Source organism: Homo sapiens, chromosome 11, assembly GCF_000001405.40.
Source record: "Homo sapiens chromosome 11, GRCh38.p14 Primary Assembly".
In the NCBI taxonomy this organism is placed as follows: Eukaryota; Metazoa; Chordata; class Mammalia; order Primates; family Hominidae; genus Homo; species Homo sapiens.
This window is the reverse complement of record NC_000011.10, coordinates 34,214,190-34,235,875: the sequence shown is the minus strand read 5'-3', so window position 1 is coordinate 34,235,875 and position 21,686 is coordinate 34,214,190. Positions and strand designations below refer to the sequence as shown.

Genomic DNA, 21,686 nt, shown 5'->3' with positions numbered 1-21,686 from the left:
GCTCTGCCTTCTCAGCTTGGTCTCCTTACCTGGGGCACAAAGAGTGTTCACTTAGCTAGCGCTGACCTCCTGCAGCTAATTAATGCCTCTAGCATGGATCAGAAAAAGCTCTGCAAAGTGCAATTAGCGATGGATCACTTGTTGCTACTTCATAGGAGTGGTGTCAGCAGTATTCATGGCTTGTGGCTTAAAAGCCAGAAGGAGATCCCCAATCAGGTCCTGGATGGCTCTGATAGGCAAATCCTCTTAGGAAGGTGGGATCACAGGCACCAATTCCTTTTGACCTCCCCCGCTCCCCTTCCTGTGGGGCTTATTGAACAGAGGCTAATTCATTCAGTATTGGAGATGTAGCAGTTTATTGTGGGGTTCAAGATCCTTGTCATCTCTGAGGATAACAGAGAGAGCCCTTTTATTGAACTCTTGCTATGTGTCAGGCATTGGGTTTAGTGCTTTATGCGATATGTTCATAACCACTACAGAGAAGAAACCATATCCGCTTTACAGATGAAGAAACTGAGGTCTAGAGGTTAAGTACTTACCCCGGGTCATGGTCAGATATTTGGCTGATGGCATTCATTTCTTTTCTAGAAATGTCTTGAGCATCTATGTGGCTGACATTTTTCAGGCAATCCCTGCTATGCAGAGCTTGCATTTTAGAGGGAGTAGGGGCACCAGATACTGAGCAAGTAAGCAAATTAATAAACACAATAATCTCGGCCGGGCACGGTGGCTCACGCCTGTAATCCCAGCACTTTGGGTGGCTAAGGCAGGCGGATCACAAGGTCAGGAGATCGAGACCATCCTGGCTAACACGGTGAAACCCCATCTCTACTAAAAATACAAAAAAAAAATTAGCCAGGCGCCGTGGCGGGCGCCTATAGTCCTAGCTACTTGGGAGGCTGAGGCAGGAGAATGGCGTGAACCCAGGAGGCAGAGCTTGCAGTGAGCCAAGATAGCGCCACTGCACTCCAGCCTGGGCGAAGGAGCGAGACTCTGTCTCAAAAATAAATAAATAAATAAATAAAATAAACACAATAATCTCTGTATAAGTGCTTCAGGGAAACTAAAAGGGCCCTCTTCTGTGGCAGAACTGGGATTCCCAGTCTCTGAGGTTAAGCAGGAGCAGGTAGCATTACCCTGTAAGCTGGGAGTCGCAATAGGCAATTAGTTACCTGACTGTCCCAGGGCTTGGCACTGCCTGGTAGCCCTGCCTTTTCATAAGGAAAAGATTCCGCACAAAGCACTTTACCTAGGTTTTGTGAGAGGCGGAGCCAGAGCTGGCATCCGAGGTGTTCTCACAATGCTGGACTTTGAGGCACAGGAGAGAATTGCATTTCTCCTCTGAGCAGTGGAACCAGCCCTGGTGCCTCCCTTGCCCAGCCTCACCCTGGGACCCTGGGTGTGAGTAGTTAGTCTTGTTATCAGTGAGAGTAACCCAGGAATCTCCCTGATGGGGAAATCCCAGGTAATTTACTGTGTCTCTGATATTCCGGTTACAGCCTCTGCTCTAGAAAGGCCAGGGAGGGGAGAATCTAAAAGTTCTCCATTTCTCGCTTGAGATGGCATCCCCCCATGCTTTCCTTAGGCCTCCTTGAGTAAGGTGTCTGCAAATAGCTTCTCAGCATGACTTCACCCGGAAGCTCATCTGAGTGACTCACAGCCTGCTTTAGGCACCTCCTCCAGGGAGACGCTCTTACCCTTGCCCCCACCCCAACAGGGGAGGGGAGGGGAGAAGGGAAACCCCCTAACTGAGCCACGGAGAAGGCCTTGCCAGAGCACTGTGGAAAATACCTGCAGCCCAGCTTGGCCCTGCTTCAGGTGCCCTGGGATGTATGGTTTCTCTAGTCTTCTGAGAGGGATCAAGCTGACAATTCAAATTTGAGGGAGCGATGACCCTGGAAACTGTGTAGGTCTTAAAAAGAAATATATATCCAAACACACTGACCTGAAAAGATGTCCACAAAATACAGGATTCAGCATTAGGTGAAAAATAATTTCATTATGTTCCTGTTTCTCAAATTCGGTTTGTGATTTTAAAAAATTGATAGGTTAGTACATGTATTTGTACATGTACTATTTGTACTAAAAGCCTATTTGAAGAAAAATTATAATATATTAATAATAGTTATCTCTGGGAGGTAGTATTAAAAGAAACTTTATTCATTATTCCTTTCTGATTTTTAAAAAATAATCATAATTACCTTTATAATAAAAAAAAAAAAGGTGGGCCAGGTACAGTGGTTCATGCCTATAATCCCAGCACTTTGCAAGGCCAAGGCAGATTGCTTGAGCCCAGGATTTCAAGACCAGCCTGAGCAACATGGTGAGACCTTGTCTCTACAAAACATTTTTAGAAACTTAGCTGGGTGTGGTGGTGTACCCCTGTGGTCCCAGCTAATTGGGAGGCTGAGGCAGGAGGATTGCTTGAGCCCAGGAGTTTAACGCTGCAGTGACCTGGGAGGCGGAGGCTGCAGTGAGCCAAGGTCACACCACTGCACTTCAGCCTGGGCAACAAGGAGGCTCTGTCTCAAAAAAAAAAAAAGCTGCAGTGAGCCATGATCATGCCATTTCCCTTCTGCCTGGGTAATAGAGCAAGACCCTGTCTCAAAAAGAAAGGGTTGTTTTTTTGTTTTGCTTTGTCTTCAAAAAAATAAAAAGAAAAATCCTCATGCACCAAGCCCAGGTGTCCTAATTGTGTCCTCATTATTAAATGCCTAACTTCCCGTGGTGGACTGTTAGCAGGAAGCGACTGGGATGGACTTAACATTCACTTAGCAAACAGCTACCTCCCTAGCCACTGGAGGACCAAACCACTATGACAGGGTGTCTCCCTTCAGTGGCTCCCAGCATGATGGAGGGGGTAGTATATGTTTTGCGGGGCATTTGGGGTTTTGGGGGGAGGTTAGGGGGTTTTTTGAGACAGAGTCTCCTTCTGTCACCCAGGCTGGAGTGCAGTGGTGTGATTATGGCTCACTGCAGCCCTGACCTCACAGGCTCAAGAGATCCTCCCACCTCAGCTTCCCAAGAAGCTGGGACCATTACGCCTGGCTAATTTTATTTATTATTATGTATTTTTTTTTAAGAGACAGAGTCCCACTATGTTGCCCAAACTGGTCTCAGTGATCCTCCCACCTTGGTCTCCCAAAGTTCTGAGATTACAAGTGGGAGCCACCATGCCCCCTGACCAACCACCACCCTGCACCCAAGGCCAAGGGCTCGATAAATACTTTGCAAACAAATGGATATGTAAATGAGTAGATACTAAGTGGTCTGTGAGAGAAGGCTACAGATTGTGGTGGGGCTTCAGAAGGTCTCGAGAGGTCCCTTGCTGGGGATTAGGTTAGGCCTCGTGATGGTGCTTCTGGGATATTCCTTTTCTCTAGGATTTAAATGTCTCATTTAAGAACAATTTTTTTTTTTTTTTTTGAGACAGAGTCTCCCTCTATTGCCCAGGCTGGAGTGCAGTGGCGCGATCTCAGCTCACTGCAGCCTCCGCTTCCCAGGTTCAAGTGCTTCTCATGCCTCTGCCTCCCAAGTAGCTGGCGCTACAGGCGTGCACCACTATGCCCTGCTAATTTTTTGTATTTTTAGTAGAGATGGGGTTTCACCATGTTGGCCAGGCTGGTCTTGAACTCCTGACCTCAAATGATCCACCCACCTAGGCCTCCCCAAGTGCTGGGATTACAGGCATGAGCCACCACTCCCAGCATAAGAACAATTTTAGATTTACATGAAAGTCGCAAGAGTATTACAGAAAGTTTCCAGATACCCCACACCGTTTCCCCTATTAACATTATTAACTAAAGTTCATACTTCTTTAGGATTTCCTTAGTTTTTACCTAATGTCCTTTTTCTGTCTCAGGAACCCATGCCATATTTAGTTGTTATATGTCCTTAGATTCTTCTTGGCTGTGACAAGACTTTCTTTGTTCTTGGTGAGCTTGACAGTTTAGAGGAGAGCTGATCAGATATTTTACAGAATATCTTTCAGTCTAAAGTTTTTCTCATGACTAGTGTGGGGTTATAGGGTTTTTTGCGGGGAAGTCCACAGAGGTAAAGTGTCATACTCATCATATCAAGAATACACACTATCGGCCGGGTGCGGGGCTCACCCCATCTCTACTAAAAATACAAAAAATTAGCTGGGCATGGTGGCATGCGCCTGTAATCCCAGCTACTTGGGAGGCTGAGGCAGGAGAATCGCTTGAACCCAGGAGGCGGAGTTTGCAGTGAACTGAGATTGCGCCATTGCACTCCAGCCTGGGCGACTGAGTGAAACTTCGTCTCAGGAGAAAAAAACAAGAATAAGAAGAATACACACTATCAACATGACTTGTCACTGATGATGTTAACCTTGACCACCCGATAATGTTTGTCTGGTTTCTCTACTGTCAAGTATTATTCCCCACTCCCGCCCCTCAGGCCACGTCCACTCTGTAGTCTTTAGAGTGAAGTCACTGTGTGCATTCCATAGCTAAGGGATGGGAAGTTATGCTCTACCTCCTGGGGGAGGGTGGTATCTATTAATGCATAGATTAATTGGAAGATTGATTGGTTTATTCTCCCCTAGTTATTTTTTCAATCAGTAAGCATGCATATATGGGTATTTATTTTATACTTTGGGTCATTATGCAATATTGTGTTATTTATTTTGTTATGCAAATTGTTCCGGCTTTGCCCGTTGAGAGCGCTTTCGGTTGGCTCCCATCTCATCATTTTAGGATTCTTTGAGCACTCTTACTTTCTGGTACCACAAGATGCTCCAAGCTCATTTTCTGTTTTCCATGCCCTGTTCCTAAAATCAGTCAATTTCTCGAAGGAGCTCTGGTTCCTTTTATTGAAGAATGCTATTAGAATCTAGGATCTGCTGTGTGCGGTGGCTCATGCCTGTAACCCCAGCACTTTGGGAGGCCAAGGCGGGAGGATTGCCTGAAGCCAGGAGTTCAAGACCAGCATAGGCAACAAAGTAAGACCCTGTCTCTACAAAAAAGAAAAAGAAAAAGAGAAACCAGAATCTGGGCACTGGATATACTCCTTGCTACTGGAGTGTCTGGGACATTCCTTTTGAAAGAAGGTTTTCGGAAACTAGGTAAAGAATTTGCAGATCATACTGAGATTTCATGATGGAAATAAGAGGAAAAGGACTGGAAGAGGCACTGTAAGCCTCTTGTCATATCAACAACTTCAGGCAGACACCATGGAAGGTCCTGTGGCATCTGTCTGGTGGGAGGGTATTATAAACAGTCAAATAAATGACCACAGATGCTTTAGGAAGGGGCCATCAGCATTTAGGGACTGTAAGGGGGCAACTCTCCCCATCGTCAACTTACCAGAGCCTTCCCCGTCCATGTCCTTGTTCCAGGTACCATTTTTGAGTCCATCCTGTGTTCCAGGCACTGCCCTAGGTTCTCACTCAACCCTCAGGGCTCCCCGAAAGTTATTTTAGGTATTGTTGGCCCCGTCTTACTGCAGAAAGGCTGAGGACTTGTCTGGGTAAGTGACTAACCCCTCATTCAAACCCAGGTACAACCCTCAAATTCTCCCTCACTGAGCTGACTGCCACTTAACGTGGTTTGGGAACTTCTTAGCTTCAAAATGCAACACTCCCCCTTTGATAGAGATGTGGATGTTAGTGCAGGCAAGGACTATGGTGTCACCAAGGTCACCGGTCCCCCTGCTCTGATCACAGCAGTCATCACAGGGAACTGTAAAGAGGTAGGGTGTGTTTGCGCATGCATATGCGAGTGCTGAGTGCGTGTGCCACCTCCCACCTACAGGCTTCCCAGGAGCTTCAACAGAGAACCCTTGCCCATTGCCTGGCAGGTAGCTGTATCCGACTAGGGGCCCTGCTGTTGAGAACTGAACAACAGTGAGCTTCAGAAGAGAGGAACGTGAACATATCTAGAAAAGCCATAGGAAAGTGGCTGGCAAAACTGAAACCAGTGGCAAGAACTGGGTAGACATTTAAAGGCCCGTTCCAAAGATAGCTAATGCCATAAGAAAATGCTGTTTGGTGTAATAAGTGAAATGAAACAACACTGTAGGTTTAAAAATATATGAACAATATTTAACAAGTATCAATACTTCTCTCTAAGTGATGGGATTATGGGTGATTTTTATTTTCTACCTTGCATTTGACTGTATTTTTTATATTTTTCTGTAGAAAACATGCATTAATTATTCTTATAGTGCTAAAGTAATTTAATATGAAACTAGTGAGAGAGCTTTATTCTTAAGGGTCATCCTAACTTTGTGTTCAATGTGCTTCCATTTTATGTGCCTCTTCCGTGGCCTTTGTGGTTGCACTTGTTTTAAGGAAACCCATTCTAGCACAGAAGTCACTGCCGATTTGGTAGCAAAGAATAAATAATTTTCTTTCTTTTTTTTTTTTTTTTGAGATGGAGTCTCACTCTGTCACCCAGGCTGGAGTGCAGTGGTGCGATCTCTGCTCACTGCAAGCTCCACCTCCCGGGTTCACGCCATTCTCCTGCCTTAGCCTCCCGAGTAGCTGGGACTACAGGCGCCCGCCACCACACCTGGCTAATTTTTTGTATTTTTGGTAGAGACGGGTTTCATCGTGTTAGCCAGGATGGTCTTGATCTCCTGACTTTGTGATCCGCCCACCTCGGCCTCCCAAAGTGCTGCGATTACAGGCGTGAGCCACCGCACCCGGCCAGAATAAATAATTCTGTTAAAGAATCATCACTAAATGAGATACCACTTTCTTTTTCTTTTTTCTCTTTTTTTTTTTTTTCCAAGACGGAGTCTTGCTCTGTCTCCCAGGCTGGAGTGCAGTGGCGCGATCTTGGCTCACTGCAACCTCCGCACCCCCAGATTTAAGCAATTCTCCTGCCTCAGCCTCCCGAGTAGCTGGGATTACAGGTGCCTGCCCCCACACCCAGCTAATTTTTGTATTTTAGTAGAGATGCTGTTTCACCATGTTGGCCAGGCTGGTCTCGAACTCCTGACCTAAAGTGATCTGTCCACCTTGGCCTCCCAAACTCCTGGAATTACAGGCATGAGCCACTGCACCTGGCCCCTGAGATACCACTTTCTTAGGACTATAACCAAACAGACAGATAATAAGTGTTGGTGAGGATGTGGAGAAATTGGAGCCTTCATACACCACTGGTAGGAACGTAAAATGGTGAAGTCACTGTGGAAAACAAGCATGGTGGTTCCTCAAAAAATCAAACATAGGCTGGGTGCGGTGGCACATGCTGTAATCTCAGCATTTTGGGAGGCTGAGGCAGGCGATCACCTGAGGTCGGATGTCGAGACTAGCCTGGCCAACATGGTGAAATCTCTACTAAAAATATAAAAATTATCTAGGTATGGTGGCGGGCGCCTGTAATTCCAGCTACTCTGGAGGCTGAGGCAGGAGAATTACTTGAACCCAGGAGGCAGAGGTTGCAGTGAGCCAAGATCATGCTACTGAGCCAAGACTACACCACTGCACTCCAGCCTGGGCAACAAAGTGAGACCTTATCTCAAAAAGAAAACAAACAAAAAAGTAGGCCAAGTGTGGTGGCTCACGCCTGTAATCCCAGCACTTTGGGAGGCCGAGGCGGGCGGATCACCTGAGGTCAGGAGTTTGAAACCAGCCTGGCCAACATTGCGAAACCCTGTCCCTACTTAAAATACAAAAATTAGCCAGGTGTGGTGGCACGTGCCTGTAATCCCAGATACTCAGGTGGCTGAGGCAGGAGAATTGCTTGAACCTGGGATGCAGAGGTTGCAGTGAGCCAAGATCATGCTACTGAGCCAAGATTACACCACTGCACTCCAGCCTGGGCAACAAAGTGAGACCTTATCTCAAAAAGAAAACAAACAAAAAAGTAGGCCAAGTGTGGTGGCTCACGCCTGTAATCCCAGCACTTTGGGAGGCCGAGGCGGGCGGATCACCTGAGGTCAGGAGTTTGAAACCAGCCTGGCCAACATTGCGAAACCCTGTCCCTACTTAAAATACAAAAATTAGCCAGGTGTGGTGGCACGTGCCTGTAATCCCAGATACTCAGGTGGCTGAGGCAGGAGAATTGCTTGAACCCGGGATGCAGAGGTTGCAGTGAGCCAAGATCATGCCATTGCACTCCAGCCTGGGTGACAGAAGCAAAACTCCGTCTCAGAAAATAAAAAAAAAGAAGAAAAAAAAAGTTACAATTACCACACAACCCAGCAGTTCCACTCATATATACCAAGATAAATGAAAATGTATGTTCACACAAAAACTTGTACATGACTAGCAGCATTGTTTGTAATAGCCAAAAGGTAGAAACAATCCAAATATTCATCAATAATTGAATAGATAAACAAAATGTGGTATATCCATGCAATGGAATATCATTCGCCCACAAAAAGTATAGTACTGATACATGCTACAACATGGATGGACCTTAAAAACATTATGCCACATAAAAGAAGCCAGACACAAAAAGCCACATCTTGTGGGATTCCATTTATGTGAAATGTCCAGGAAAGGCAAATTCGTAGAGACAGAAAATAGCTTAGTGCTTTCTAAGAACAGAGGGAAATGGATAATGGGGAGAGACTGATGACTTCCAATGGGTACAGATTCTTTTTTTTTTTTTTCTTTTTTTTTTTTGAGATGGAGTCTCACTCTGTCACCCACACTGGAGTGCAGTGGTGCAATCTGGGCTCACTGCAACCTACGCCTCCTGGGTTCAAGTGATTCTCCTGCCTCAATCTCCTGAGTAGCTGGGATTACAGGTGTGCGCCACCATATCTGACTAATTTTTGTGTTTTTAGTACAGACGGGATTTCGCCATGTTGGCCAGGCTGATCTTGAACTCCTTTTTATTTTGGAGACAGAGTCTTTTTCAGGCTGGAGGGCAGTGGTGCCATCTCAGCTCACTGCAACTTCCGCCTCCTGGGTTCAAGCAATTCTCCTGCCTCAGGAGAGTAGCTGGGACTACAGGCGTACACTGCCACACCATGCTAATTTTTGTATTTTTAGTAGAGATGGGGTTTTGCCATGTTGGCCAGCCTGGTCACCAACTCCTGACCTGAAGTGATCCACCTGCCTCGGCCTCCCAAAGTGCTGGGATTACAGGTGTGAGCTACCATACCCATACCATACCAAACGTTTTCTTTTTGGGGTGATGAAAATGTTCTGAAATTAAATAGTGGTTATGGTTTCATACTCTGATATACTAAAAACAGCGAATGAAATGTTTTAAAAGGGTAAATTTTATAGCATGTGAATTATATCTCATTTTGAAAAAACAGCCTACTTGGACTCATGAACGCTGAGCCCAGTTTCTCTATACTGGAGTTGTGAGGAGCATGGTCCTACTCTGTGGCCTTGGGCAAGTAGCTTAACTTCTCAGGTTATTGTCCGTGTTTTATGTTAAAGCCATATGTGATACCATCATGTCACAGAGTCCTTAGGCAGTTTGTACTGACCCTGCCTGTAGTCTGCACTTGTTCATTGCTCCTTAAGGAGGCAGCTTCCTCATTTGTGTGAGGGGATCTTGGTTTTGCTTTCTATTCCCATAGGAGAGCTCCTCTTTTAAAACATCCCTTCCAGGAGACTGGGCTCTGGATCAAGGAAGGGCAGTGGTGGCCCATCCTGCCAAGCTATTCCCAATGTTTATTTGAGGCAATAAAACTCAAATAGGTAGTGGCTTCTTTTTTTTTTTTTTTTTTTTTTTAATGGACTCTCAGCTCAGTCTTTCACCCAGGCTGGAGAGTAGTGGTGCAATCTCAGCTCACTGCAATCTCTGCCTCCCAGGCTCAAGTGATCCTCCCACCTCAGCCTCCCAAGTATCTGGGACTACAGGCGCACGCAACACTCGGCTAATTTTTTGTATTTTTGGTAGAGACGGGGTTTCACCATGTTGCCCAGGCTGCTCTCAAACTCCTGAGCTCAGGCAATCCACCCGCCTCGGCTTCCCAAAGTGCTGGGATTACAGGCGTGAGCCACCGCACCTGGCTTGATAGCGGCTTCTAAAACCTATAGTTACTTGGAATGTCCAGGGACTTCTAAGCTCAAAGCACTCATGTAACACAGGTTCTTATTTTTCAGATACTTTCTTCTTTCTCCTTTTCTCTGCCCACCCCACCAGCCCTTTCTTTTTATTTTATTTATTTATTTATTTTTGAGGTGGAGTTTCACTCTTGTTACCCAGGCTAGAGTGCAATGGCGCGATCTCGGTTCACCGCAACCTCTGCCTCCCTGGTTCAAGCAATTCTCCTGCCTCAGCCTCCCGAGTAGCTGGAATCACAGGCATGTGCCACCACACCGGGCTAATTTTGTATTTTTAGTAGAGACGGGGTTTCTCCATGTTGGTCAGGCTGATCTCGAACTCCTGACCTCAGTTGATCTGCCCACCTCGGCCTCCCAAAGTGCTGGGATTACAGGCATGAGCCACCGCGCCTGGCTAGCTCTTTCTTTTTAAGGGAAGGGAAGAGGAAAGCTAGAGCCCAAGAGGGTGGGCTCTGCAGTCTACAAGCCCTGTGTGGAGTCTGAGCTATTGTTTACAGCTGGCGACTTCAGCCATAACAGTGGCGGGGTCTTGCAGCATGACAGTTTAATTCTTTGCTCCCCAGGCCGGCTTTTGGCCCAGGACCAGGGCCAGAGCTGGAGACCAGGCTGACAAGCCCACTCTTTCCCCTTCTGCTCTAACGCGTCAGAGCAGTCAGCCTCTGCCCTCTGCCCTCCCTGACGGCCACCTCCTCATTAGCTGAGCAATTGGAGGAGACGGGTGTCATGAATACATTGCTTTTCCTTTAACTTGTAATGCCATCGGAAGTCAGAACTATTATTCTAGTTTAATATTCAGAATATCTCAGTATCTCAGTTTTGACTGCATACCTCAAGTTTAGATTTAAAGCTAAAATAAATCCACATTCTCTGAACATGGATTTTTTTATACTTATTAAGCACCTACCATGTTCTTGGAACTGTGTGAACTGCAGAGATGACAGCAAGAAGGAAGTGTGAAGAAAAATATAGTTTTTGCCCTTCCTTAGCCAAAAGCCTCGTTAAAAAAGATTACCACTATCTCAAATCATTCCTACCTCAAGCCTGAGAACCAGAGGAGAGGGGCAGAGTTCAGTGGTGATTAGAGACAATGGTGCCTTCTGTCTTTTGTATGCCCAGTCTTTGCCAGGGACTATGTTGAGTACATATATGCATCATCTCATTTGATGTTCGCCCTCAGTCTTTGAGAGTAGGTGCTATTTCCACTGTGCAGACGAGCAAACTGAGGCTCAAAGGTGGTGTTATGTGTTGGAGGCCACCCTGCAAGGTTGGGTCCACCTAACTCATGAGCTGGTGCCTTTTAACCAACACGTCATTGTCGGGGGAGGCTCTATGAAGACCATGGCAGCCAGTCACTTGATAGAAAGAAAGGATGGTCAAAGAGAGGGGAGGCCACCAGTGTTGAAACTGCAGTCATCAGCATTGCAGTATCCAGAAAGGGGTACACCACGCCTGTAATCTCAACACTTTGGGAAGCTGAGATGGGAGGATGGCTTGAGGTTAGGAGTTTGAGACTAGCTGGGTAGCAGGACAAGACCCCATTGCTATGAAAAATTAAAATTAGGCTGGGCATGGTGGCCTGCTCCTATAATCCCAGCACTTTGGGAGGCCGAAGCAAAAGGACTGCTTGAGTCCAGGAGTTGAGTCCAGGGCAATATAGTGAGACCTCATCTCTCCAAAAAAATAAACAAAATTAGCTGGGTGTGGTGGCATACACTTGTAGTTTTCAGCTACTCAGGATGCTGAGCCCAGAAGTCAAGGCTGCAGTGAGCAGATTGTGCCAAAGCATTCCAGCCTGGGCAACAGAGCAAGACCCTGTCTCAAAATTAACAAAAACAGAAAGAGGGGCATGATCCTCTTAGTCTCTTCTGAACCACTCAGGGTGGACACAAACACAGCATACCCTGAAGTTGTACGTGAGGTCCTGGGCTCCTGGATTTAAGAGGGTAGTGAATAGGCTGAGACTGGAGCTGGGTTTACAGGGTGTAGACACAGTACCAGAGAGTGGAAGCTGCAAAAAGACAGAAATAAGGAGAATGTTCTAGTAGTTTTCTCCACCCTCTGGCAGTTGACTTGAGGGGTGGACAATCAGATCTCACTGGAGGCAACATAGTGTTGGAGCTCTGATGTAACTGGAGGCATGCTAGCGGGTCAGCAATTTGAGTAATGAGGCTGAGGCTGATGCCGGGGCGCAGGAGACTGCTTTCCTCTGTGCTCCAATCCCCCAGGCCTGCTGCCTGCAAGGCACAAGCTGCAAAGCAGGGGTGACAGTTCCCAGAGCTAGAGCATGGGCCACCCAGGCAGGAGCAACACCCCATGCAGAGATAGGGTCAGTCTGCTCAAAGCATGAGTGAGTGTGTGTGTGGTTGGGAGGGAGGTAGCAGCAGCCTACGCTCCTAATGATGATTACGGGGCAAATGTGAATGGAATGGGGTGGCGCAGGGGAGACTCCAAATCAAGAACTAAGAAAAGGCTTAGGGGAGCAGGAGAGCGGAGAATTTTGGGGTACAGACTTCCTCTCTGTCAATTGTGCTGTGCAGATCCAGGAAAGATCCAGGCCAGCTGTCCTGGAAGGACCGATGGGGCTGCCTCTTTGGGACGTTGCCACCTCTGCTCCAGTCGGGAGGGCTGAGGAAACAGGTTCTGCTGAAACAGGCTGATTCACTGTTTCCACTCGGTCCTCGGCTGTGTTGGTGGGCAGATCACACGCCAGCCTCGTAAACTCACTCTCCGCTTGTCCATGTGACGTTTATAGCCCCACAGGGAGCTGGCTTTTTAATGAGCCTAATTTGAGACTGTAAGTAGGAGTTTGTAAAACAAACAGCGAGGGGCTTTGGGTCAAAGCCCAAAGTTTCAGTTTAAATACACAGGGTCACATTAGGGCTGTGCAGACAGGCCAAGACTCCTCTGTGCCCAGGGCAGCAAGAAGAAGGTGCTCCCCAGGGAAAGGCCCACCTTCCCAGGAGAGCTTGCTGCAGGCTCTGTCGTTCCCCCAGAAACTGGGGAGACTTAGAGGGAGACCTTCCTATTTTGGTTCTGTGTGCAAAGCACTCGAGAGCCCTAGTTTTCCCATAGGGAGGCAAGGACTCCTTCGGGGTAGGCCTATGTGCAAGCCCAGGGTTAGAAGTCAGTGCACCGAGGTCTCCAGTGCCTTTCTGCAAAGCACAGCCCCACATCCAGCCTTAAGAGGCTTCTGGGAGGGAAAGTCTGTTATCCACAGGCACTGCATCTGAAACTCAGCATCTCCCTGTAGCTTGATTTCATTTTTGAGAGCTGGTTTTCAAATTAAGATTAAGCTGGAGGGTGCCTGTTATGAGGCCTGTTAAGGTAACCTCTTTCTACAGGGCTCCAGGTGGAGGAGGAGGCTCCTCACCTCCCACTCGGATGCTTAGGGCTCTGTGAACCAAAATTAAAATTCTAAGGCTCCCCAGCCATCTGAATGGACTTCCTCCACAGCCAGGGCACTCTTAAAATTTAACCTGAAAGACTAGTTCAGGCCATGAATGGAAGTGGGGTTGGACATGCCTCACTATACCTCTCTGGCATTAATATCCACACAGACCTTAAGTCTAAGCAGAAGCATTTATCATCTATTCTCTTTGAAGCCTGCTACCTGGAGGCTTCATCTGCATGATGAAACTCTGGTCACCACAACCTCTTATGCAACCCAGACATTCCTTTCTATTGATAACCCTTTCAACCAATTGCCAATCAGAAAATTTTTAAATCTACCTATAACCTGGAAGCCCCACCCCTTGCTTCAAGTTGTCCCACCTTTCCAGACAGAACCAATGGTTTTTTGTTGTTGTTGTTTTGTTTTGTTTTTTGAGATGGAGTCTCACTCTGTCACCCAGGCTGGAAATGCAATGGTGCGATCTCGACTCACTGCAACCTCCGCCTCCCAGGTTCAAGCTATTCTCCTGCCTCAGCCTCCCAAGTAGATAGGATTGGGATTACAGGCATGCACCACCATGTCCAGCTAATTTTTATATTTTTAATAGAGACAGTGTTTTGCCATGTTGACCAGGCTGGTCTGGAACTCCCGACCTCAGGTGATCCACCTGCCTTGGCCTCCCAAAGTGCTGGGATTATAGGCATGACCCACTGCACCCAGCCAAGTTTTTAAATTAAAATTAAGTGAGTGAGTGGGACTCCACAGACTGCCTAGCAGCAGGTGAATGTTCTGGCCAGAGGATTGCCCCGTGAGGGGAGCGTTGAGCCCCCCTATTCAAGCTGAATGAGGGCTAGATTTGCCGTCACCACCTCAAGCCCTCAGGGGACTTGGCTAGAGCCACTCTGTTCTCAGTAGTCTAAGGGACACAGGCACAGCCAGCCAGGCTGGACAGTGTACTCTGAGCAGTCACTTTAGCCTGCTCCTTGGAAACTTGGGGAATCACTTCATCTGCAAGTCACAGAAAACCTGACCTTTAGGGGCTGAACTATGTACCTCTCAAGATTCCTGTGTTGAAATTCCAGCTCCCACTACCTGAGAGTGTGACTGTATTTGGGGATGAAGTCTTTAAAGAGGTAATGAAGTTAAGTGAGGTCATGAGGGTAGGCCTTAACTCAGTATGGCCGATGTCCTTATCAGAAGAAGAGATGGGCCAGGCGTGGTGGCTCACGCCTATAATCCCAGCACTTTGGGAGGCCAAGGCAGGTGGATCACGAGGCCAAGAGTTCGAGACCAGCCTGGCCCACATAGTGAAACCCCGTCTCTACTAAAAAAATACAAAAATTAGCCGGGCGTGGTGGCGCATGGCTTGTAGTCCCAGCTACTCTGGAGGCTGAGGCAGACGAATTGCATGAACCCGGGAGGTGGAGGTTGCAGTGAGCCAAGATCGCACCAGTCCACTCCAGCCTGCATGACAGAGTCAGACTCCTTCTCAAAGAAAAAAAAAAAAAAGATTAGGACACAGGCACAGAGAAAGATCATGTGAAGACGTAGACAGAGAATGGGCCACCTACAAGTCAAGGAGGGAGGCCTCATGAGAAACCAACCCCTGCCAACACCTTGATCTTGAACTTCAGGCCTCTAGAACAGTGAGAAAATAAATGTCTGTTGTTGAAGCCACCCGGTCTGTGGTATTTTGTTATGGCAGCCCTAGCAAATTGATAGACCAACAGGGGGTTATTTATTTATTATTTATTTATTTTATTTTTGCAACAAGAGGTTCAGGGATAGGCAGTGCCTGGTGTCTTTTAGCTGCTGGGTGAGACTGCGAGAGAGCCAGGCTCTTTCTGCCTTTTGCTCTGCCATCCTCAGCACGTTGGCTCTGGCCCCACTCTCTGAGAACAGCTTCAGCCGTAGCAGGGTCCTGCCTCCTGGTTACACAGTGGCTGCTGCTGCACCTTCTTCAAACAGTATGTCACAGTTGAGGCAATAAGAAGAGCAAAAGCCCTGCCAGCCAGAGAGCTGATTATCCCTTTTGATCAGGAGAAGTAGTATTTCCCAGAAACCCTGAAGTCTTGAATTGATGTCTCATTGTCCAGAACTGTGTGGCACGGCCATAAGAGAGCCTGGGAAGATGTCCACCAGGGCTCCTGGCATATTGCATGGCCACTCGAGACAGAACGGCATGTCAGCCAAGAAGGAGAAGGAATGGAGCTGGGTAGGTCACTGAGAGGTCAGCCCGGTTTCAAGTGTCCAGTGATCGTTTTCTTACTTCTTTGCAGGGAAAGATCATAGTGTCCTCCAAGATGCTGGGAATGACATAGTGACCTCTGGCAGGATATACCCATCTGGGAATGAGTGTCCTACTGGGACAATAAACTAGCTTCCTTCCCTATACCTCCTCCACCCCTTCAGTCCCTCTGGTATTGCATATTGTTGCTTAACTATGAGATAACCAGGGAGTGTTTGCTTCTCATAAAGTCTGTAAAATCCCTTTGGAGTTCTTTGAGTAAATGGGGGCTTTTTGAAACATCCTGTTATTTTTCCTCCCTTGCTGACGATAACAGCACATAGCAAAAGTCCTCTTTTCAGGCTGTCCTTCCAAGTTTCTACTACAGCCATGCATTGCTTAATGACAGGGATAGGTTCTGAGAAATGCATGGATAGGTGATTTTGTTGTGGGAACATCATAGTGTGTACTTATGCAAACCTAGATGGTATAGCTTCCTACACACCTAGGCTATATGGTATATCCAAGTGCTCCTGGGCTATAAACCTGGACAGCAAGTTACTGTACTGAATGCTGTAGACAATTGTAACACAATGGTACATATTTCTGTATCTAAATATAGAAAAGGTAATGCATTGCACTATGATCTTATGTTGGCTACAACATCACTAGGTGATAGAATTTCTCTTTTTTTGTTTGTTTGTTTTTGGAGACAGGGTCTTGCTCTGTTGCCCAGGCTGGAGTACGGTGGCATGATTGTGGCTCACTGTAGCCTCAACCTTCTGGGCCCAAGCAATCCTCCCTCCTCAGCCTCCCACAGCTGGGACCACAGCTGCATGCCACCATGCCTGGCTAATTTTTAAATCTTTTGTAGAGACAGGGTCTTGCCATGTTGCCCAGGTTGGCTTTGAACTCAAGCAATCCTCCTGGCTTGGTCTCCCAAAGGGCTAGGATTATAGGTGTGAGCCACCATGCCTGGCTGGTGATAGAACTTTCCAGCTCCATTATAACTTTATGGGACCACCATCGTATATGCTGTCTGTCACTAGCCAAAATGTCATGCAGCACATGACTATTCCTACTACAGACTCCTCCTCTAGTATTTATCATGGTCTACTTAAATTATTTGTGTACATGTTTTTCCTCCCCTCCAGATTAGAAAACTGGGTCTTACTCACCTCTGTATTCCTAGCACTAAGCTTGGTATAATTAGTAGGCGTGTAATGAATATTTGGATAAGTGAATGAATGATGAGAACAGCATGGTAAATTTCCCTAGACAAATAGATCAATGGAACAGAATAGAGAGCCCAGAAATAGGCCTACATAAACATAGTCAACTCATCTTGACAGAGGAACAAAGGTAAACAATGGATAGTCTTTTTTTTTTTTTTTTTTTTTTTTTTGAGATGGAGTTTCGCTCTTGTTGCCCAGGCTGGAATGCAATGGTGCAATCTTGGCTCACAGCAACCTCCACCTCCTGGGTTCAAGTGATTCTCTTGCCTCCTCTCGAGTAGCTGGGATTACAGGCGTGCACCACCACCCCTGGCTAATTTTGTGTTTTTAGTAGAGATGGGGTTTCTCCATGTTAGTCAGGCTGGTCTGGAACTCCCGACCTCAGGTGATCTGCCCACCTCAGCCTCCCAAAGTGGTGGGATTACAGGCGTGAGCCACTGCACCCAGCCAAAGATAGCCTTTTTAACAAATGGTGCTAGGAAAACCAGACATCCACATGCAAAAATAAATAAATAAATGTAGACACAGACCTTACACCCTTCCCAGAATTAACTCAAATGGATCAGAGACCTAAATGTAAAACACAAAACTATAAAACTCCTAGAAGATAACATGGGGAAAAAAATCTAGGATGACCTTGGGTTTGATGATGACTTTTTAGATATGACACCAGACACCAAAAGCATGATCCAGGAAAGGAAGAATCAATCAGCTGCACTTTATCAAAATTAGTTTCTACTCTGTAAGAGACAGTGCCAAGAGAGTGAAAAGACAAGCCACAGACTGGGAGAAAATATTTGCAGCAAAAGATTCATCTGATAAAGGATTGCTACCTAAAATAATATGCAAAGAACTTTTAAAACTCAGCAATAAGAAAACAACCAATCAATTTAAAAATGGATCAAAGATCTTAACAGACATCTCACCAAAGATGATATGCAGATGGCAACTAAATTTGTGAAAAAATGTTCAACATCATCTGTCATTAGGAAATTGCAAGTTACAATGACCATACTAGGACATACCACTGCACACCTCTTAGAGTGGCCAGAATCCAGAACACTGATACCACCAAATGCTGGTGAGGATGTGGAACAACAGGAACTCTCATGCATTGCTGGTGGGAATGCAAAATGGTTCAGCCACTTTGGAAGACAATTTGGCAGTTCCTTAGTTACTCATAGGTATATGATACCAATACAATTCAGCAACTGCATTCCTTAGTATTTGCCCAAAGGAGTTAAAAACTTTTATCTGCTGGGCACGGTGGCTCATGCCTGTAGTCCCAACACTTTGGGAGGCCGCGGCAGGCAGATCATTTGAGGTTAGGAGTTCAAGATCAGCCTGGCCAACATGGAGAAACCCCGTCTCTACTAAAAACACAAAAATTAGCCAGTCATGGTGGCAGGTGCCTGTAAGGCCAGCTACTCGGGAGGCTGAGGCAGGAGAATCGCTTGAACCCAGGAGGCGAAGATTGTGGTGAGCCAGGATCACACCACTGCACTCCAGCCTGGGTGACAGAGTGAGACTCTGTCTGAAAACAAAACAAAACAAAAAAAACTTATATCTACACAAAAACCTGTGCACAGTTATTTATAGCAGGTTTATTAAGAATTGCCAAACTTGGAAGCAACCAAGATGTCCTTCAATATGTGAATGGATAGATAAACTGTGGTACATCCAGACAATGGAATATTATCAGAGCTAAAAAGAAATAAGCTGATGATGCACGACAGGCAAACCTCAAAATTAGGACTTATCCCAGGAGAGTTGTTGGCTTCGCCTAGGAAATAATTCAAGGGTGAGCCAGTGGTGTTAAACAGCTTTTATTGAAGTGGCAGTTTACAGCAGCAGCAAAGGTACTATTCCTTGTGGGTCAGGGGTATCCCATAGGCAGTGTGTCCAGAATAACAGCTTAGAGGCAGTTCCGTACTACTAGTACAGTAATATTTGTACCCACTTTTAATTATATGCAAATTAAGGGGTGGCTCGTGCAGAAATTTCTAGGATGAGGTTGGTAACTTCCAGGTTATCAGGTCATTGCCACGGAAAGAGGCAGGAACATCTAGGTGTTGCCATGGAAATGGTAAACCAACCATGGCACACTGGTGGGCGTGTCTTAATGGAAAGCTGCTTCTGCCCGGGACCTGTTTTAGCTAGTCCTCAATTTGGTCTGATGTCCAAGCCCTGCTTCTGGAATATCAAGCCATGCAGACATGGAGGAAACTTAAATGTATATTTCTTTTCTTTCTTTTTTTCTTTTTGAGATGGAATTTCGCTCTTGTTGCTCAGGCTGGAGTGCAACAGCACAATCTCAGCTCACTACAACCTCCTGCCTCCCGGATTCAAGTGATTCTCCTGCCTCAGCCTCCTGAGTAGCTGGGATTACAGGCACCTGCCACCACGCCTGGCTAATTTTAGTATTTTTAGTAGAGATGGGGTTTTACCATGTTGGCCAGGCTGCTCTTGAACTCCTGACCTCAAGTGATCTGCCTGGCTCGGCCTCCCAAAGTTCTGGGATTACAGGTGTGAGCCACTGCACCCGGCCTTGAATGTATATTTCTAAGTAAAGGAAGCCAATCAGAAAGGGCCATGTATAGTATGATTCCAACTATATGACATTCTTAAAAAGGCAAAACTATGGAGACAGTAAAAAGATCAGTGGTTGCCAGGGGTTGGGCAGGGAGGGATGAATAGGCAGAGCACAGAGGATTTTCAGAGCAGACTGATACCTGCTCATCATCAACTGAGGTGTCCCTTCTTCCAGGAAGCCTTCCTTGACCACCAAGCCTAGGTAGTCTGGCTTAGAGATCCTTAGTTTGGATTCCTTGTGCTGACTGCATCACAGCCCTTTGTATCCAATATTTATTTGGCTGGCATACTGTCTTCCCTCCTCCACTAGACTGCCAACTTCATGAGGGTAGGGACCCCCATTCACTTTCATATCCCCAGAGCATAGCTGCTTCTGGTGTATTATTAGGTAATCATTACACAGTTGTTGAATAAATGAGTGAATGAATGCAGAATAAATGAGCCATCTGTGGTGAGTAAATCACAATTTTTTTTTAAATCACTGTGGATCCTAGTGGCCTTTAAGAAAATAACAGAATCGAGTGGCCTTGGGTCTATCCCTCCTTCCTAATAGTGACAATAACTTTTATATAGTATCTGATGACTTCTTTGTCTTGAAGCCATCAGCCCTAGGAATCAGGCTATTAATAAAAATATTTTTATTTACTATATGCTTTACTGTGTGCCAAGCCTTTTGCTAAGTGCTTATTTACAAAACCTGTTTTAATGCTCAATCTTGTGAATTAGGAAGTATGATTAGGCCTATTATCCAGAGAAACAAATTGTGGCTCAGAGAGCTCAAGTAACTAGTCCAGAGTCACACAGCTAGTAAGTGGCAGAGCTGGGTTTTGAACCTCATTGCTCTGACTCATGCCCTTTAATTGTCTGAAGAGTCTAATGATCAATCCCTTTTGGAATTGGAACCGAAGCTGATTGAAGCAGGTTATGTTTATAAGCAGGACTCCAGTGCAGTAAATCTCTGATGAATATTCTCTGATGAATATACTCATGTTCTGTTAATAAACATCTTGGCCATCTGCCCTGGGCCTTGTGATGTTTGCATCTTTTCCTTAAACTCTCAAGGAGAGACTTGTGTTTGTGCCCTTTTGATCCCTTTCTTCCTCTCTGAGCTGGCACTGAGAGGTCACACCCACTGCCCTCTTTCTGTCCCTGGCAGCACTGATCCCTAGCAGGGGAAGGATGCAGCTCAGCTGTCACTCCCTGCGCTGGCTTTGCCTCCTCTCCCTCCCTCACCCCCTGCCCAGCAATGGCAGCATCCCACCAGTGGTGATTCGGCCACTGTAGCTGTAGAATGATCACACAGGCTCAGAGCAGTAGGTACACGGCAGGGCAGAGCATCAGCAAGATGCCACAGAAAGTCCCACTGGTGATGCAGTGCCTGAGTCACCACCACCTGGGGCCAGGCGAAGGGGCCAGATGATAGATACTTGGAATGAGGCATGCAGACAATGTCTCATCTACTGGTTAGCAATTTAGAATGGGTTCTCCCTGAGTTTCTTCCAAAAGCAGTACCCCCTCATTTTTTGGTAAAATTTCTATAAAACAACCAGGTTTTCCTTTCATGTACCTTTTTCTTTTAACCTCCATGAGCTCATAATAATTGTAATATTAGTTTTGTTAAAAAGTATGAAGAATAATGGGAGAAGAATCATCTAAAAGTATACCATGCAGAAATAAATTCTAGGCTCTTTATAGGTAACAAGATAATAGCGATAGTTTTGGCTGGGTGCAGTGGCCCACACCTGTAATCCCAGCACTTCGGGAGGCTGAAGTGGGAGGATGGCATGAGCCCAGCAGGTGAAGGTTGCAGTGAGCTGAGATTGCACCACTGCACTCCAGCCTGAGAGACAGAGCAAGAACCTGACTTTAAAAAAAAAAAAAAAAAAAAAAAAGTGGTATTTTTAACATTCACTTTTTCCTTTATCTAAAAATTTAATTTCAGATAACAAATGTTATACCATAATTCAAATTATGGGTGTTCTTTGCTCAGAAGAAACATTTTGTCACCCTCCTCTGCCTCTGATTACATCTCATCCCCTCTCTCATATTGCTCAAAACAGTCATTGTTCCTATGCCAGTAAGCCATATTCATTATAAAAAGTTTGGAAAGCATAGTAGGGCAGAAAGCATTTTTATGACCCTAGCATCAAGCGAACCACTCTTTTAGTGGCTGTTGAGAAGAAGGCTGATATTTAAGGTACTGAGTCTACGACTGCTTCATCTCCATCCTTAATT

General features: G+C 46.1%; 1 protein-coding gene across 1 annotated transcript in view, besides 3 other annotated features; it reads left to right on the top strand.

Moving 5' to 3' along the window:
• ABTB2 (ankyrin repeat and BTB domain containing 2) overlaps positions 1-21,686 on the top strand; it is a 207,024-nt gene that overhangs the window by 122,135 nt on the left and 63,203 nt on the right. The window lies entirely within an intron of this gene.
• Positions 1,345-1,674: an enhancer, noted in NCBI's record as "active region_4599". NCBI's record gives its function as "activates an Ori minimal core promoter by ATAC-STARR-seq in GM12878 lymphoblastoid cells {active_cell/tissue: GM12878}" and the evidence as "EXISTENCE:reporter gene assay evidence [ECO:0000049][PMID:35858748]".
• Positions 1,345-1,875: a biological region, named in NCBI's record as "OCT4-NANOG-H3K27ac hESC enhancer GRCh37_chr11:34255548-34256072".
• Positions 1,351-1,875: an enhancer, noted in NCBI's record as "OCT4-NANOG-H3K27ac hESC enhancer chr11:34255548-34256072 (GRCh37/hg19 assembly coordinates)". NCBI's record gives its function as "activates a minimal SCP1, AML or CMV promoter by ChIP-STARR-seq in naive H9 embryonic stem cells {active_cell/tissue: H9 hESC(naive)}" and the evidence as "EXISTENCE:reporter gene assay evidence [ECO:0000049][PMID:30033119]".